General features: G+C 47.2%; 1 protein-coding gene across 1 annotated transcript in view, besides 4 other annotated features; it reads right to left on the bottom strand.

Annotated features, from left to right (window-relative positions):
* Positions 1 to 6,233, bottom strand: part of TIAM2 (TIAM Rac1 associated GEF 2) — a 262,409-nt gene extending 256,176 nt beyond the window's left edge. The window contains exon 1 of the mRNA NM_012454.4: positions 6,056 to 6,233. The gene's annotated coding sequence lies outside the window, so the exon portion shown is untranslated. The remainder of the gene's footprint in view (positions 1 to 6,055) is intronic.
* Positions 5,126 to 5,731: an enhancer, noted in NCBI's record as "H3K27ac-H3K4me1 hESC enhancer chr6:155316951-155317556 (GRCh37/hg19 assembly coordinates)". NCBI's record gives its function as "activates a minimal SCP1, AML or CMV promoter by ChIP-STARR-seq in primed H9 embryonic stem cells {active_cell/tissue: H9 hESC(primed)}" and the evidence as "EXISTENCE:reporter gene assay evidence [ECO:0000049][PMID:30033119]".
* Positions 5,732 to 6,339: an enhancer, noted in NCBI's record as "H3K27ac-H3K4me1 hESC enhancer chr6:155316343-155316950 (GRCh37/hg19 assembly coordinates)". NCBI's record gives its function as "activates a minimal SCP1, AML or CMV promoter by ChIP-STARR-seq in primed H9 embryonic stem cells {active_cell/tissue: H9 hESC(primed)}" and the evidence as "EXISTENCE:reporter gene assay evidence [ECO:0000049][PMID:30033119]".
* Positions 5,976 to 6,055: a silencer, noted in NCBI's record as "silent region_17701". NCBI's record gives its function as "represses an Ori minimal core promoter by ATAC-STARR-seq in GM12878 lymphoblastoid cells {active_cell/tissue: GM12878}" and the evidence as "EXISTENCE:reporter gene assay evidence [ECO:0000049][PMID:35858748]".
* Positions 6,146 to 6,285: a silencer, noted in NCBI's record as "silent region_17700". NCBI's record gives its function as "represses an Ori minimal core promoter by ATAC-STARR-seq in GM12878 lymphoblastoid cells {active_cell/tissue: GM12878}" and the evidence as "EXISTENCE:reporter gene assay evidence [ECO:0000049][PMID:35858748]".

Raw genomic sequence — 17,652 nt, 5'->3', positions numbered from 1 at the left:
TGGCAGGGAACCTTCTCAGGGCACCAGCCTATGTCTGCTGGCGGTAACCATCCGTGGGCATTTTTTTTTCCTTAATGTTATGAAAAAACATTTCACAAAAAATAAAAGCTTTCAAATGCTAGATGATTTTTATTAAGATCCTTTATTTGTTTACAATTAAGGGCATGCTAACCATTGGGTCAGGATAGAAGAGTGGAAGGATCATGTGGTCAGACAGACCTGGATTCAAATCTCAGCTGTGCAATTTCAAACTACGTGAACTTGGGTAAAGGATCCCACAGGTCTCCAACCTTCTCCTTCTAGGTTGTCATATGGGTGAGCAGCCTGGGTGTCATCCTTTACTGGATGTGATTCTCCCTGCCCTCCATTTTCTCAGTCACCAAGTCCACTGCACTTCCTTTATATTTCTGGAATCTTCTTCCATGTCTGTCCCCACTATTCTACTGCCACCACCTTTGATGATCTACACTGTTACCACTGACTTTCTTTCTTCCAGGCTTGCTTCCCTAAATCTACTCACAACAATCTAAAAAGAAACTGGTTTCTTTTTTTGTTTGTTTGTTTGAGATGGGGTCTCGCTCTGTCGCCCAGGCTGGAGTGCAGTGACGCAATCCTGGTTTACTGCAACCTCCACCTCTCGGATTCAAGCAATTCTCGTGCCCCAACCTCCCGAGTAGCTCGGACTACAGATGTGCACCACCACACCCAGCTAATTTTTGTATTTTTAGTAGAGACAGGGTTTCACCATGTTGGCCAGGCTGGTCTTGAACTCCCAACCTCAAGTGATCCCCAGCGTCGGCCTCCCAGAGTACTGGGATTATAGGCGTAAGCCAAGGTGCCTGAACGGAACTGGTTTCAAATGCAAATCTGACCTATCACTCCTCCACCTAAAACTTAAGGAATTTGCTTTTGTGTCACTTAATGTCACTTACTGTTCTCTACTTAAAGTAAGTTCTCTTACTGACCATCGTGTTGAGAGCGTAACAGTTTTTTGGATGCTTTTTTTTTTTTTTTTTTTGCAACAGTTTCCCTCTTGTTGCCCAGGCTGGAGTGCAATGGCGCAATCTCAGCTCACCACAACCTCTGCCTCCCGGGTTCAAGTGATTCTCCTGCTTCAGTTTCCCAAGTAGCTGGGATTACAGGCATGTGCCACCACGCCCACTAATTTTTGTATTTTTAGTAAAGACGGGGTTTCTCCATGTTGGTCAGCTGGTCTTGAACTCCCGACCTCAGGTGATCCGCCCCTTGGCCTCCCAAAGTGCTGGGATTATAGGCGTGAGCCACCGCACCCAGCCCAGCTTAACAGTTCTTAACACATCATAGGGGGCTCACTCGATACATGTTTAACATTGAGGGAGTTGTTTAAGCATGAATTTCTTCCTTATTCCACAAAAGTCTACTTTTTTTAAATTCAGAGGAATAAATGAGATGATGTATGCACAGGCCAAGTAGTCACTGCCACAGCTTCTAACTCCTCTTACTGTTCATTGTTCCAAAGTTTGCAAAGTGCTTTCATGCACTTCAGCTCATTTGATCTTTGTAACAACTCTAAGATTTAAGGAGTTACAAGAGGTTGGGCGCGGTGGCTCACACCTGTAATCCCAGCACTTTGGGAGGCCGAGGCGGGCGGATCACAAGGTCAGGAGTTCAAGACCAACCTGACCAACATGGAGAAACCCCGTCTGTACTAAAAATGCAAAAATTAGCTGGGCATGGTGGCACGTACCTGTAATCCCAGCTACTCGGGAGGCTGAGGCAGGAGAATTGCTTGAACCAGGACCCGGGAGGCAGAAGTTGCAGTGAGCCAAGATGGCACCACAGCACTCCAGCCTGGGCTACAGAGTGAGACTCCGTCTCAAAAAAAAATAAAAAAAGAAGTTACAAGAAACTGAGGCCGGTGACATTTATGGTCTGCAGAAGCAAAGCTAGTTTTCAGACAAACTTAGTGATTCCAAATCCTGAGCTTTTTCATTACGCTTTTCTGTTAGGAGTTCTAACTTCTCCTATAGAAAATAATAAAGAAATAAAAATTATTTTTCCTGGCCAGGAGCGGTGGCTCACGCCTGTAATCCCAGCACTTTGGGAGTCCGAGGCAGGTGGATCACCTGAGGTCAGGAGTTCGAGACCAGCCTGGCCAACATGGCAAAACCCCATCTCTACTAAAAATACAAAAATTAGCCAGGTGTGGTGGTGGGTGCAATCCCAGCTACTCGGGAGGCTGAGGCAGGAGAATCGCTTGAACTCAGGAGATGGAGGTTGCAGTGAGCTGAGATCGCCACTGCACTCCAACCTGGGTGACAGAGCGAGACTCTGTCTCAAAAAAATTAATTAATTAATTAATTAATTTTCCTATAGCATATCAAATGTCTTTGAATATATAATAGAGATGCCCATCTTTCCCATAAAGTTTAACCAATACTTTTTATGGCATTTAAGAAATACAAACACATGGGCCAAATTCCACTCCAAATGGACTTTGCATCATTTCTTATCAATTACTTTAAATAAGGAAGTTGTCATCGGGTTTGTTCATTCATTCCTCCATTCAGCAAATATTTATCACATGCCTACTTTACCCAGGGCATTGTGTTTGGCACTGAAAATCTTTTCTTTCCCTGAGATCTTAAAATTAAGCCTATACTTTCAAGATTTCCCAAGTGAGGCCAATGATGGAATATACAGAAGGCTGTTCTTATAGGTACTTGAATATGAAGTCGAAGCCAGGAAATCTGAAAGCTCGTCCTGGCTATGCCTCTACACAAGCTCAGTGACCCTGGATAAGTTCCTGGGACTCAGTTTCCTTACCCATAAAATGGGAGAATTGATCCATATTATCCTTAAAGTTATTCCAATGTTATGAATTCTAGAGATTCCAAGATTCCATATAACTAGCAAACACTTTTGACATCTACAAGTATATAATTTTATATCACAATCTTATAAATGCTTGCATGATAATTCACATATTGATTGTAGCTTGAAAAATGCCACCAGATCACCCCACAAATTGTTAATTTTTAACTACATACAAAATTTGGAGCATTTTTACAACTCTTGCAGCCAATTCAGCTTGCAAATGGCCCCTTCCCAATGAAAACTGCATTTTTCATGCATAAAACTGTGATATTAAATACTGATCTCATTGGAGATCCTAAATAAATCAGACTCAAACCCTTCTTACTTTCTTAGTTTAATTCTGTGACATCTCACTTTAGGATGGCTTAAATTCTTATATACAAAACGGCACTCCAATGCAATTTATTAGCACATGTTTATGCGAGCAAAGCTCTTTAGGGCCTTACTTGCAAGTTTCTTGCCCCCTTATCTCTCTTAGCAAATCACGATTAGACACGTAAACCTGAGTGGCTAGAAAAGTCATCAGCTGACAAAGCACCACATGTTGACACAAATCCCTGACGCCCACCCATGAATTCACACTCGCAGATTCTTCCCTGTAATCAAGGAGAAGACATCTGTCTAAGCATCATTTGAACAGCCCAGACATAAGATAAAGCAAACTGAAGCAGATTTCTGTATACTGACTTATACAAAAAAAATCTGCCCCCAAACTCTTACTTCTTTCTAGAGTTCGTGAGAAGTAATCTTTTCTGGCCGGACACGGTGGCTCATGCCTACAATCCCAGCACTTTGGGAGGCTGAGGAGGGTGGATCACTTGAGCTCAGGTGTTTGAGACCAGCCTGGGCAACATGGCGAAACCCCCTCTCTACAAAATGTTTTTAATTAGCCAGGTGTGGTGGCACGCGTCTGTAGTCCAGCTACTTGGAAGGCAGAGAAGGAAGATCAATTGAGCTGGGGAGGCTGAGGCTGCGGTGAGCTGAGATCATATCACTGCACTCCAGCCTGGTCAACAAAGGGAGATCCTGTCTCAAAAAAAAAAAAAAAAAAAAAAAAAAAAATCCATTCTTTCTTCACTCGTTCACGGAACCTAGGAACCTTAACTGAGCTCCTATTACATCAGTTGAAGTGATGGATGCTAAGTACAGTAGTGGGGATAGGCTTAGGGTCACTACTAACCCATACTGTACTTTTGGTTAAATTGCCAAATGTATCCTCTCCAATGGAGAGGAGCGCACTAGAGGCTTGGCAAGTGGAGTGTGAATCGGATTTCAGCCTCCAATTGCCTGTTGGACAAGATGACCTTGTGTAGTGAACAGCCTGAACAACTGTGCAAGGTGGCAGTGCCAGAGGTATATACAAAAATGTGTTCTAGTAGAAGCACTGACTACTGGAGGAGGAGGAGCTTAACTTCGCCTACGGATAAGGAAGAAAAGCTTCCTAGAGAAGGTATTTGACTGACACATTAAGAATGCGTGGGTAATTGACAGATGGGCAAGAGGAGTAAGAACAGTGTAAGCAGAATTTCATTCATTCCAAACAATGGTCTGGAAATAACAACTTCTGAGTAGCTTGGTGTGTCTAGAGCAGGCAGTGTGCAAGCGGGGGAGAGCCAGGAGGCCTGGGGAAAGTCAGTAGATGGAACTGGAAAGGCAGGCAGGTGCCACATTATGAAGCATCTTAGTATGGTATGTGAAGGTGTTGAAAGCTGATTCTGAGGTCATTAGGGGCGTGTTTTGCCACAGTAAATAATAAACTCTTCTTCAGTTATACCTTGCCATGTTCTTTTACATTTACCCAACACAAAAACCTCTGACACCCTAAAGCAACAAGTTTTATTTTCCTATAAAGTGAGCAGGTAAAATCCGGTGGAACAAAAGTTTGCTTACAAAACTGCACCAATCATGATACTATATTTTTAAAACATAACAATCTTAAGCACATCAGGAAATACTTCTAAGAGTGTATACACACAAGTTCTACTGGTTAAGCCCAAATTATAAAACCATGGACACTTTTTTATCCAGAGCCTAGGACTGAAACATTTATAGCATATGATCCGCACCTGTACGAAACTTGGTAAGATTTTAGAGACACTCTGGCTTAAATCTATTGGAAAGAGAACTGGAGATAGCCGGTGTTGTCTGTTAAAATAAGGTGGTCAGCATCATTTGGGGAGCAAAAGGTAGAATGTGTGAATAACCATGAGAAGAGAATCCCAGGCCCTTCATCGCATAGTAAATAAAGGTCTCACCATTACCCAAGGAGGCTGAGGAGTGTCACCAAGTGGCCTCTTGCCTGAATTCTGCAGAGAAAAGCAGGAAAACCTCCCCCTGAATGAAATTATCTTTGGAATCAAGCAGCCTTCTCCCTCTTTAAATAAAGTTAACCTATTTGTCTATTTTAAAAAAACGGCATGCAAGCTCATCAATATTAAATTTCGCCGCTCCTTAAAGATAGAAATACCTCGTGCAATGTTACTCCCAGACCTTTCCAGCGGCTGTCAGCAACGAATGGCTGGAAGAATGGACTCTTTTCTTTCTGAACTGTTTTTGGTAAATAGGATCCATTAGGGGCACAACGTGTCGGCTTTCACAGAAACTTGGCACCTCAGCCCCCCCAGGAGCCGCGCCCGTCCGGGATGGCTCCCGCGCTCGGAAAGGCCGGAGGGGCTGAGCAGGGACCGCACGGTCTACACTCGCTGAGCCGACCGCCTGGGATCCTGCTTCGCCGCAGCGCCTTTCTGAGGCTCCGAGGTCGCCGGGCGGGCGTGGGCGCAGCGGGCGCTCCCCTCCGGGCACCCACGGCTCGGCTTTGGGCGAGAACCTCGGTATCAGGAGGCCGGGGCGCCGCCTCCTCCCATCCGGGATGGGACCGGGGCTGAAAGTGGGTCCTGGCGTGTCGCGCAGCGCGAGGGGACCAGGGGACCTAGTTTCAGAGCCTTCTGGAAAGTGCTTCGTCCCCCGTGCCAGGCTGTGCCCGGACGCTGCCGCCCTCCGGGGAGAGGGTGCCAGGCCGCGCCCCGCAGCCGCGACCTTCCGCGGGACTCCCAGGAAAGCGGGGGCAGAGAGGGGCGGCCAACAAAGGGGAAGGGAGGGGACCGCCGGCCGCGCGCCGCCCCGCCCGCAGGGGACCTGGAGCCGCCGCCAACCAGCGCGGGTCGTCGCCCTCCTGCGCCCTCACCCGGGCGCCCCTTACCTCGGGTCGCGCGCCGGGCTCGGTGGGGCCGGTCGCGCGCCGCCCTCCGCTACCCTCGGCGCGTGGCCCTCGCGGGAACGCCGGGAGGAGTTGGAGAAGTTCTGGGGGTCACTTTGTTCTCCACTTGGACGCGCGCTGTGCGCCTGCGGCGGCCGCGGCCACAGTTACGGTTACCGCTGCCCCAGCCCCGCGCGCAGCGCCTGCCAGGCCCGAGCCGCGACCGCACCTCCCGCCCCGCCCCGCCCCGGACACGCCCCAGCCCCGCCCAGCGTCAGGCCCAGGACCCCCGCGCCAGCTCCCGGCTGGTCCCGGACCATGTCCCTCGCGCTTTCTTTGGAACAACACAAATAAAACAATTCAAGAAACATCGAGCACGCGCTCACTGTGAGCTGGGGGCTCTGCCCGCTACCGGGGATGCGATGCGCCAGTGCGACCCCGTCCCTTCCCCAAGGAATTTAAAGACGGCTCTTCCCGGGTCCCACCGAGGAAAGGCACGCAAAACTGAGGTCAGCGGCCGCAGAGACTTTCCATCTCCTTCCCCTTCTGAGAGGAGATGGCTTCGCAGCGGAGATGGCAATCGAGTCGGCACTCCAAGACCCAGTCGAATTGGGACTTTCCAGGTGGAGAAGCTGCGATTTTTATTATTATTTTTTCAGACTGAGTTTCGCTCTTGTTGCCCAGGCTGGAGTGCAATGGCGTGATCTCGGCTCACCGCAACCTCCGCCTCCTGGGTTGAAGCGATTCTCCTGCCTCAGCCTCCCGAGTAGCTGGGACTACAGGCACGCGCCACCACGCCCGGCTAATTTTGTATTTTTAGTAGAGATGGGGGTTTCATCATGTTAGTCAGGCTGGTCTCGAACTCCCGACCTCAGGTGATCCACCCGCCTCGGCCTCCCAAAGTGCTGGGCTTACAGGCGTGAGCCACCGCACTGGGCCAAAGCTGCGATTTTTATTAGAAAAGCCTGAGTGGCCCAGTGGGCCCAGATGCTGGGAAGGGCGAGGGAGCTAAGGAGACCCAGGAATGAAAGCTGCCTGGAATCACTCTCCTCGCCTTGAAAAAGGCTGCACCCTGGAGAGGAGAGGGAAGGGAAGGTAGATGCAGGCCATGTGTTAGGGTGGGTCCTACGAGAAGCAGCGCCCACTCAGGACTAGATGCGGAGGGTTTTCTTGGGGGAAATGGCCGTGGAACTAAATGAGGAGGGAGCCGTGAGAGCTGGAGAGGGCCGGACCTTCTGCAAATCAGAGCCCAAGTGAAGGAGGGAGGGAAGCACCCATCCCGGCCTCCCTGCAGTCTAAGAAAAGCTCAGCAAGATCATCCGTGAGCCCTTCAGCCAAAATTACGCATCATGGGGATCCCGATTCTCCCCGGAACCTGCCTGCCTTCGTGTCCATGCCGCCACCAGTCCTTGGCTGGGAGCGGCCAGGTGGGAAGGGTGGCGTTGGGCACAATCCCAGTGCTGGAGTTCAGAGCACAGCAGCCAGGGCCCTGGTCAGTTAGGTGCAGTGCGTGAATACGACCCAGTCTCCGTAACGGGAGATCCGTGGAGAACTGTGAGTCAAAAAGACAAATGAAATCAGCTTTCCCACAACACACCCAGTATCAAAAGGAAGCCTCCAGGCTTTGCGGGGATCGGACAGACCTGCTCTCCACCCTCAACCACCACAGGCTCTGTACACACCGAACTAGTAGTGACTGGCCCCTCCCACTCTGTAGGCCCTCCCCTGGTCTTGTCTGCATCTTTGCGCACTTGGCTCTGCCTAGGAAAATATCTTCCCACTCCACTCACTCTTCCATGCTCAATTCAAGCATCACCTCCAAAGACCTTTTCTTCCTTGACATTTATTTACTGTTTTGTGGGTGGGGTGGGGGGGGGCGGTGCTTGCTTTGTTTTGAGATGGAGTCTGTCTCTGTCGCCCAGGCTGGAGTGCAGCGGCACGATCTCAGCTCGCTCAACCTCCACCTCCCGGGTTCAAGTGATCCTGCCTCAGCCTCCCAAGTAGCTGGGACTACAGGCATGCACCGCCACACCCAGATAATTTCTGTACTGTTAGTAGACACGGAGTTTCACCATGTTGGCCAGGCTGGTCTCGAACCCCTGACCTCTAGTGATCTGCCCACAGCCTCCCAAAGTGTTGGGATTAGGGTGTGAGCCATGGCGCCCGGCCAACACTTATTTACTTCTTACTTCTGACTCACACCTACCACACTGAGACGGGGGGTGGGGGGGTGCTGGTATGTGTTTATTTTTCTTGCTTCTTTTATTGCATTTTTCGCACTATTTTAAAATATTTTTCTGATTATAAAAGTAACATGTTTGTTGTACAAACTTGAAAAAATATATAGAACCCAGATGGCTCTAATTCCTCTCCTCTTGTGAGACACCATCCCTTGACAGCCAAGTAACCAGAGTCTGAGCTCCCATACCACCCACGTGTGTACATATGGGTCCAACCAAGAGAGAGGCTACACAATGATTTCAACAGTGAAAGTTTAATACAAAGAATTATTAACTATAACGGGACTTGGAGTAGTGGGGGATTGACTAGGTTAGTAAGAAAGACAAAAGAAAATGGGAAGAGCAGGCCAGGCGCAGTGGCTCATGCCTGTAATCCCAGCATTTTGGGAGGCCGAGGCGGGCAGATCACCTGAGGTCGGGAGTTAGAGACCAGCCTGACCAACATGGAGAAACCCTGTCTCTACCAAAAATACAAAATTAGCCGGGGATAGTGGCATATGCCTGTAATCCCAGCTACTTGGGAGGCTGAGGCAGGAGATTCGCTTGAACCCGGGAGGTGGAGGTTGCGGTGAGCCAAGGTCACGCCATTGCATTCCAATAGGGAAACTCCGTCGCAAAAAAAAAAAAAAAAAAGAAAAGAAAAGAAAATAGGAACAGCAGATGGAAGGACTGAAGGAGCAGTCATTGCCCCAGGGCTGAGAGAGTGCACCCAAGGGAAGCTTCTCCTTCCCCTGGGGTTGAGACCCAGACCCTGTTGGGGAGGGCACAGCTATGGTTCACTAAATGGCAGAGAGGTCACTGAGGTGTCTTCCAGTGGAACTTGCTGGTAATCCAACCTTTAGAACTTGCTGGATATCTACCCTTTAGAGTATGAAGAAAGCTGTTCACAGGGAGGCGTCTCATGGAGGCTTTTCACTACAAATGCACCTACAAAAGCAGGGTTCTGGAAGAAACAGGTGGCTTCTGGATGCTCCCAGAGAAGCCTCCCAAGCTGCAGGAGCCTGCTGAGCAGAAGCTTGGCAACCCGGAGGCAAAGCTCTGTCCTCCTGCAGTGTCTCTCCCATGCCCCATGTCCACTATGCTTAACAACAAGCCAGCTGGCAAAGGCAGTTGTTTAAAAGGTCTAGATCTGGCTGGGTGCAGTGGCTCATGCCTGTAATCCCAGCACTTCAGGGGGCCGAGGCAGGTGGATCACCTGAGGTCAGGAGTTCAAGACCAGCCTGGCCAACATGGCAAAACCCCATCTGTACTAAAAAAACAAAAATTAGCCAGGCATGGTGGCGCGCGCCTGTAATCCCAGCTACTCAGGATGCTGAGGCAGGAGAATCCCTTGAACCCGGGGGGTAGAGGTTGCAGTGAGCTGAGATCACACCACTGCACTCCAGCCTGGGTGACAGTGAGATTCTGTCTCAAAAAATAATAATAATACCATCCTGGCCAATGTGGTGAGACCCCATCTCTACTAAAAATACAAAAATTAGCCAGCTGTGCTGACGTGCACCTGTAATCCCAGCTACTCGGGGGGCTGAGGCAAGAGAATCGCTTGAACCCAGGAGACAGAGGCTGCAGTGAGCCGACATCATGCCACTGCACTCCACTCCGGGCAACAGAGTGAGACTCCATCTCAAATAATAATAATAATAATAATAATAATAATAATAATAAAGCCCAGATTCATTTTTACAGAGAAGGTGAAAAGGATGAACCTGGGGCTAAGAGACCATGATCCACTAACCAGCATATTCTACAGGCTCAGGAAGTCCAGGCATCATCCAGTTTCCCCTCCCAAACTCTTCCAGCACATTCCAGATGAATACTAACATTGCTACACGTCTCTCCTTGCTGGCACGTGTCCCTCAGCCGGCAGTTTTGTTCCTGTCCATGACTCCCTTGGCTGCAATTGTCTCTATGCATTCCTACCCCAAGGGCTTCGCCTCACCTGGAGGCACAGGGTGCCTCCTCTCCTAGTTTTCACAGGTAAGACCAAGAGGTGAGAGTCAACAAAACTTGACAGAAGGCTAAGGAACCAGAAGGGAATTACAGAAGAATCTACCCCCAAAGACAAATTCAAATTTCTACCCCTTGCAAAGACAAAAAGAGCAGCATGTTTTAAAAGGCAGCCCCACTTTCCTCAACATCCACTCACTTGATAACCACCAAGGCTTCAAAACTACTCAGCTACAGTATCCTATTATGTCCTAAAAAATTTAATAATAATAGGCTGGACGCGGTGGCTCATGCCTGTAATCCCAGCACTTTGGGAGGCCAAGGCGGGTGGATCATGAGGTCATGAGTTCGAGACCAGCCTGGCCAAGATGGTGAAACCCTGTTTCTACTAAAAATACCAAAAATTAGCTGGGTATGGTGGCGTGTGCCTGTAATCCCAGCTACTTTGGAGGCTGAGGCAGGAGAATCACTTGAACCCAGGAGATGGAGGTTGCAGTGAGCCGAGATCACACCACTGCACTTCAGCCTGGGCAACAGAGTAAGATTCCGTCTCAAAAAAAAAAAAATTATTAATAATAATATTAGCTGTAATCTCACTATCAAGAGGTAAACATTTTGTCATATTCTCTTGCAGAGTCTTTAGACCTGGATTACCCAGATCTAAACTCTGTGAGGGAAGGGATCATGCCCAACTCATCTGTCTATCCCTGATCACTTAGTATATTTCCTGACATATATGGAAGGTGCCTATCAGTGTTTGGGGCATTGAATTGGTTTCCAGAAGCTTCCCAGGACCAGAAAGTATTCAAGTACTTGTCTCTTAGTTTCAACAGACAAGTTATCCTTCCTCTGAGTTCTGCCTCAAAGAGAGGTTCCTTAACACACCACCGTCACTTTTGGACAATTCTTTGAAGCAATATTAACTCTTGTTCACAACACCTGAAGGAAGAGTCTTGCTGCCACGTAAACTCTCTGCCTCAGCCTGGGCACCGCCGGCTACAGAAAGGACCTTCACCACACCCACACAATGGCAATACCGGCAAAAAATTATGCCATTCAATGCCTGTCTCTAAGGAGCTCAAATACTGTCCTGTTTCTGTTTTTTTGAGACGGAGTTTCACTCTTGTTTCCCAGGCTGGAGTGCAATGGCGCGATCTCCACTCACTGTGAACTTCGTCTCCCGGGTTCAAGCGATTCTCCTGCTTCAGCCTCCCCAGTAGCTGGGATTACAGGTGTGCACCGCCACAACCAGCTAATTTTTTGTATTTTTAGTAGAGACGGGGTTTCACCATGTTGACCAAGCTGGTCTCAAACTCCTGACCTCAGGTGATCTACCTGACTCGGCCTCCCAAAGTGCTGGGATTACGTGTGTGAGCCACCGTGCCCGGCCCCTCTCAAATACAGTCTTACAGCCTGTTTGTAGAAGAGAACTAGGATCCAGCAATGGTTACTTTTACTAACTGCATTTCTACTGCTTAATTCCCCATCATGGTAACAGGCTACTACACAGTCTGCCTCTCCCACGCCTCAAGATCTAGCCAAGGGGTGAAGATTGCACAGGCTCAAGTCCAGCCGTCTCTCCAGCAGAGGCAGACAGTTCTGCCAATGGGTCAGGCTACTTCTGTAGTTGAAATTCCTAGAGCACAGCCTCTTGGAGGAAGGCTGCAATTCTCCCTCCTGAAGATCACTTGGCCCAATACAAATGAGCCTCTCAGCTGGCGCTCAGGAGCCCGCTTGATTCACTTCACCGCATTTTTCAAATCCCTGAAAGAAAGAGGTAGGTGTGACTGGAATTCCAAAAAGCTGCGTTTAGCCCAAAATTCGATCCACCCTCCATTGCCTTCAAACCATTTGCATGTGCATATGGTGTGTAGTTGAAGGAACAGGCATGTGGGTGCACACAAGTGTTTTCTTTCTTTCTCTTGGATTTATTTTACCAGCTGTCCTTCCCACCAACAAATTACTAGAGTCTAATATATGTATCTTTGAAGGAATACTAAAAAACGAAAGGTTACCTGCTAGGATTACTACACCATGATAAAAGATCTATGTTTTGTTTAGACAACTGCTCAAGATTCCAGAACTAAAAACCTTGGATGGGACTACAGAGACTCCTGGCCAGGACCAGTATTGTCTCTATCCGATTCCTTAGCTGGAAAGCATCTCCAGGCATCTCTGAAGAGGAGACAGTGGTCCTCAGTGCTTCCTGGGAAGCGTGCCATTCTTAAATTTGCGAGGGAGTTTTGGGCGCAGCAGCCCAAGTTGCTCATGCACTAGCCTGGCTCCTGTGTACCCCACATGCAGATACCCTACGGGACATAGCAAAAGACTTTTCACCTTGGCCTTTACCCTCAAAACATAAATCCTTTTAAAAAGTTACCTGTGATGGAAGGGGAAGAGCACACACGGGGGCCTGCTGTGGGGTGGGGGGAGTGGGAAGGGATAGCATTAGGAGAAACACCTAATGTAAATGATGAGTTAATGGGTGCAGCACACCAACATGGCACATGTATACATTATGTAACAAACCTGCACGTTGTGCACACGTACCCTAGAACTTAAAGTACAATAAAAAATATATAAATAAATAATCTTCCACCCAAAAAAAAAAAGTTACCTGTGATATTGGTTGTTTTAAGTTGATAAAAACTGATGTTAAGTTTGCTTCGTTTTTCATCATTTATAGTTAGTAATATAGTTTGGATCTGTGTCCCCACCCAAATCTCATGTCAAATCGTGATCCCCAGTGTTGGAGGCAGGGCCTGGTGAGAGATGACTGGATCGTGGGGCAGAGTTCTCATGAATGGTTTAGTACCGTCCCCCATTAGTACTGTGTAGTGAGTGAGTTCTCACAACATCTGGTTGCTTAAAAGCGTGTGGCACCTTTCCCCCATATCTCTCTTTCTCCTGCTCCCGCCACTTAAGACTTGCCTGCTTCCCCTTCGCCTTCTGCCATGATTGTAAGTTCCCTGAGGCCTCCCCAGAAGCCAAGCAGAAGCCGCCATGTTTCCTGTACAGCCTGCAGAACCATGAGCCAATTAAACCTCTTTTCTTTATGAAGTACCTAGTCTCAGGTATTTCTGTATAGCAGTGTGAGAACGAATCCAGTTAACTTGATAAACATATCTGAAAACACAGAAGTCAATACTTTCTAAATCAAAATGAAGTACCTATTATGCTATATACCTTAAAGATATTACCTCTAGGCCAGGTGCGGTGGCTCACTCCTATAATCCGAGCACTTTGGGAGGCCGAGGTGGGCGGATCACCTGAGGTCGGGAGTTTGAGACCAGCCTGACCAACATGGAGGAACCCCGTCTCTACTAAAAACACAAAATTAGCCGGGCGTGGTGGCGGGCGCCTGTAGTCCCAGCTACTCGGGAGGCTGAGGCAGGAGAATCGCTTGAACCTGGGAGGCGGAGGTTGCAGTGAGCCTAGATCGCGCCATTGCACTCCAGCCTGGGCGACAGGAGCAAAACTCTGTCTCAAAAAAAAAAAAAAAAAAAAGATATTACCTCTGTTCACCAAGTTACATCGTTGGTATTTATTTTCATGGGAGCCCTCTGTATAGGAAATGTGTTTGCTGAACTAATAAACTTACTGTGAAATGCAAAACTTACACCATATGAGCGCACCTTTTCTCTCAAATTTCCCTTTATGATGCTAAGCTCTAGTTTTCCAATTCCTTCACCCATTAAACTTGTTCTTGGACTTCGTGGAAGCTTTCTCCCGTTGGACTTGTCCTGAATTCCTTTGACTTCCTTCCAAGCCTCCACACTTCTACTCAGTCATTTCTTTTTCTTTTTTCTTTTTTTCTGACATGGAGGAGTCTCGCTCTGTTGCCCAGGCTGGAGTGCAGTGGCATGATCTCGGCTCACTGCAACCTCCACCTCCTGGGTTCAAGCAATTCTCCTGCCTCAGTCTCCTGAGTAGCTGGGATTACAGGCACGTGCCACCACGCCCAGCTAATTTTTTATATTTTTAGTACAGAAGGGGTTTCACCACGTTGGTCAGGCTGGTCTCAAACTTGACCTCATGATCCACCCACCTCGGCCTCCCAAAGTGCTGGGATTACAGGCATGAGCCACCGCACCCAGCCAACTCAGTCATTTCCACTCTGCCCTCAGCAGCACAGTCTTCCTAACTTACTGTTCTATAAATGCTTCTTATTATCATGGAAAGTATTGGAGTCTGGAGTTTGGACCCCAGTACTTTCGGTGGTCACATTTCTAAGTGTGTAGGAAGGGAAGAAAAACAGTCAATACTTCTGCTTGCAGACAAAGATAACTTTAGCCACATTTGAAGTTAAGGGTTGGCATAGAGCCATCTGGATTACAGACAGGATCTTTTGAAGGGAAGTAATTTTTGAAATTAAACTACCTAGACAATGGACTTCAGCCAGCTTTTACCTACTTGTAAAAGAGCTATGAGGTCTGTTTCGGTGTCATGGTGTGTGGTTGAATTGGGACACACGAACCATCATGGACTTCCTCAAAAAGTGTTATGATTTGGCAATGATATAGAATTTGGGGGTTTTCATTTCAAAGCTGGGGTATTAAATGAGCTAAACCTGAACTTGAGCTCGTATTTATATGAAGTCCAATTTCTTCTGGGTTTAATATATCTTAAAAGGAAGAAAAATAAAGTCTCAGGGTATCATGTAGCAATTATAGTAAATATTCATCAAATGTATCATATATACCTATTATGTGAAATAAATAATATTTGCATGTCAATACATATAGACTTACGTGGTTCTCTTAATAGCCTTATACTATTTCTTTTTTTTTTTTTTCTTTGAGACTGAATCACACTCTATTGCCCAGGCTGGAGTGCAGTGGCATGATCTCGACTCACTGCAACCTCTACCTCCCGGGTTCAAGCGATTCTCGTGCCTCAGCCTCCCAAGTAGATGGGACTACAGGCAAGAGCCACCACACCTGGCTAACTTTTGTATTTTTAGTAGAGACGGGGTTTCACCATGTTGGCCAGGATGGTCTCGAACTCCTGACCTCAGGTGATCCACCCACCTTGGCCTCCCAAAGTGCTGGGATTACAGGCGTGAGCCACCACGCCCGGCCTCATTTTTTTCTTAATTTTACAAACTTTAGTGAAAAAAATGGAAAAATGGCATCATGCAGAAAACAAAAATCTGCTTTTTAAATTTTGTCTTACCAGATAGTATAAATACTTTTGAATTAATGGAGATATGAATTAATGAATCGTTATTGTCTTCAGTTTGAGTAGCAATACCTTAAACTTGCAGCTGTTGTTTGCTTTTTACCAAACTTTCTAATTATAAGCTTTAAAGAGGTCACACATTCTAAAATCCAAATTCAAGCTTTTAAATTAGATATAGTTTTCTATAGGACTGGCTCAAAGGTTAGATTTGTATCATAACACTGTAAAGCACAGTGTTCCATAAAAAATAATTTAAAATCGCTCGACATTAAAACGTACTCCTCAGTGGGGCATGGTGGCTCACTCCTGTAATCCCAGTACTTTGGGAGGCCGAGGCGGGCCGATCACCTGAGGTCAGGAGTTCAAGGCCAACCTGACCAACGTGGAGAAACCCTGTCTCTACTAAAAATACAAAATTAGCTGGGTGTAATGGTGCACGCCTATAATCCCAGCTACTCAGGAGGCTGAGGCAGGAGAATGGCTTGAATCCGGGAGGCGGAGGTTGCGGTGAGCCGAGATCACACCATTGCACTCCGGCCTGGGCAACAAAAGCGAAATTCTGTCTCAAACAGAAAATAAAAAATAAAATAAATAAAATGTGGTCCTCTAGATTATTTAAAACTCCCATTAACACCTGCAGTGGCTTCCCTACTCTTTCCATATTTTGTAAGTCTTTCATGTCATTTAGGATGAGACTCTCAGCAAACACCTTTCATTTATGGAATTCCCCAGCAAAAACAGACAACCTGTTTTAAAGCAGCAGCCCTGAGAAGGAGAGGCTAAACAGACACTCAGTGCAGAGAGCTCCTTTCCTCCCCTCTTCTCACCTCAGGCTGTCTTTTTCCATCATCTGCAAATGCACACTCCTAGCAATGCCATAATAGGATGCAAAAGCAATTTAGGATTTGGTTAAAGAGCTTAACCCAGTCTACTGTACATTTTAGAAAATTTATTTGTTAAACTACAATTTTCTTTTTTTCTTTTTCTTTCTTTTTTTTTTTTTTTTTTGAGATGGAGTCTCGCTCTGGCTGAGCCACCCAGGCTGAGTGCAGTGGCACGATCTCAGCTCACTCCCACCTCTGCCTCCTGGGTTCAAGTGGATTCTCCTGCCTCAGCCTCCTGAGCAGCTGGGACTACAGGTGCCTGCCACCATGCCTGGCTAATTTCTGTATTTTTTAGTAGAGACGGGGTTTTACCATATTGGCCAGGCTAGTCTTGAACTCCTGACCTCATGATCCACCCGCCTCGGCCTCCCAAAGTGATGGGATTACAGGCATGAGCCACCACACCTGGCCTAAACTACAATTTTCTATGACAAGAAAGGATATTATTGGCCGGGCGCAGTGGCTCACATCTGTAATCCCAGCACTTTGGGAGGCCGAGGCAGGTGGATTACTTGAAGTCAGGAGTTCGAGACCAGCCTGACCAACATGGTGAAATCCTGTCTCTACTAAAAATATAAAAATTAGCCAGGCGTGGTGGCACAAGCCTGTGATCCCAGCTACTCCAGAGGCTGAGGCACGAGAATCCGCTTGAACCCTGGAGGTGGAGGTTGTGGTAAGCCAAAATCACACCACTGCACTCCAGCCTGGGTGACAGAGCAAGACCCTGTCTCAAAAAAAAAAAAAAAAAAAAAAAAAAATATATATATATATATATATATATATAAAAATCCGATCCCAGCTGGGCATGATGACTCATGCCTGTAATCCCAACACTGTGGGAAGCCAAGGCAGGAGGATCCCTTGAGCCCAGGAGGTTGAGGCTGCGGTGAGCTATGATGGCACCACTGCACTTCAGCCTGTGTGACAGAGCAAGACCCCATCTCAATAAAAACAAAAAATTAATCCCCTTTTTTCCTGGCCAGATGGCTATCATCCCATATGTGATTACACTAAGAAATGTTTACAAAGCTCTGACCACCACACATTTGCAAGAACAGTGAAAGTCAGCATAATGAAAGGCGAAGCCTCCGTGTGCACACATGAGCGCACAGAGCACGGCGCAGTTAGCCCCAACTGGAGTCACAAGGTCTGGTTTAAATGTTGGCTTTACTTTTTTCCTTAATTTTTAAAACTTGATATGTAATAGATGCACATGTGATAATTTAATACATTCATATAATTTGTAAAGATCAAATCAGTGTACTTGGGAATATCCATCACCCTTTTTTTTTTCTTTTTTTCTTTTTTTTTTTTTTGAGACAGAGTCTCACTCTGTCATCCAGGCTGG

This window comes from Homo sapiens, chromosome 6 (assembly GCF_000001405.40).
Source record: "Homo sapiens chromosome 6, GRCh38.p14 Primary Assembly".
In the NCBI taxonomy this organism is placed as follows: domain Eukaryota; kingdom Metazoa; phylum Chordata; class Mammalia; order Primates; family Hominidae; genus Homo; species Homo sapiens.
This window is presented reverse-complemented; position numbering and strand designations above follow the sequence as displayed.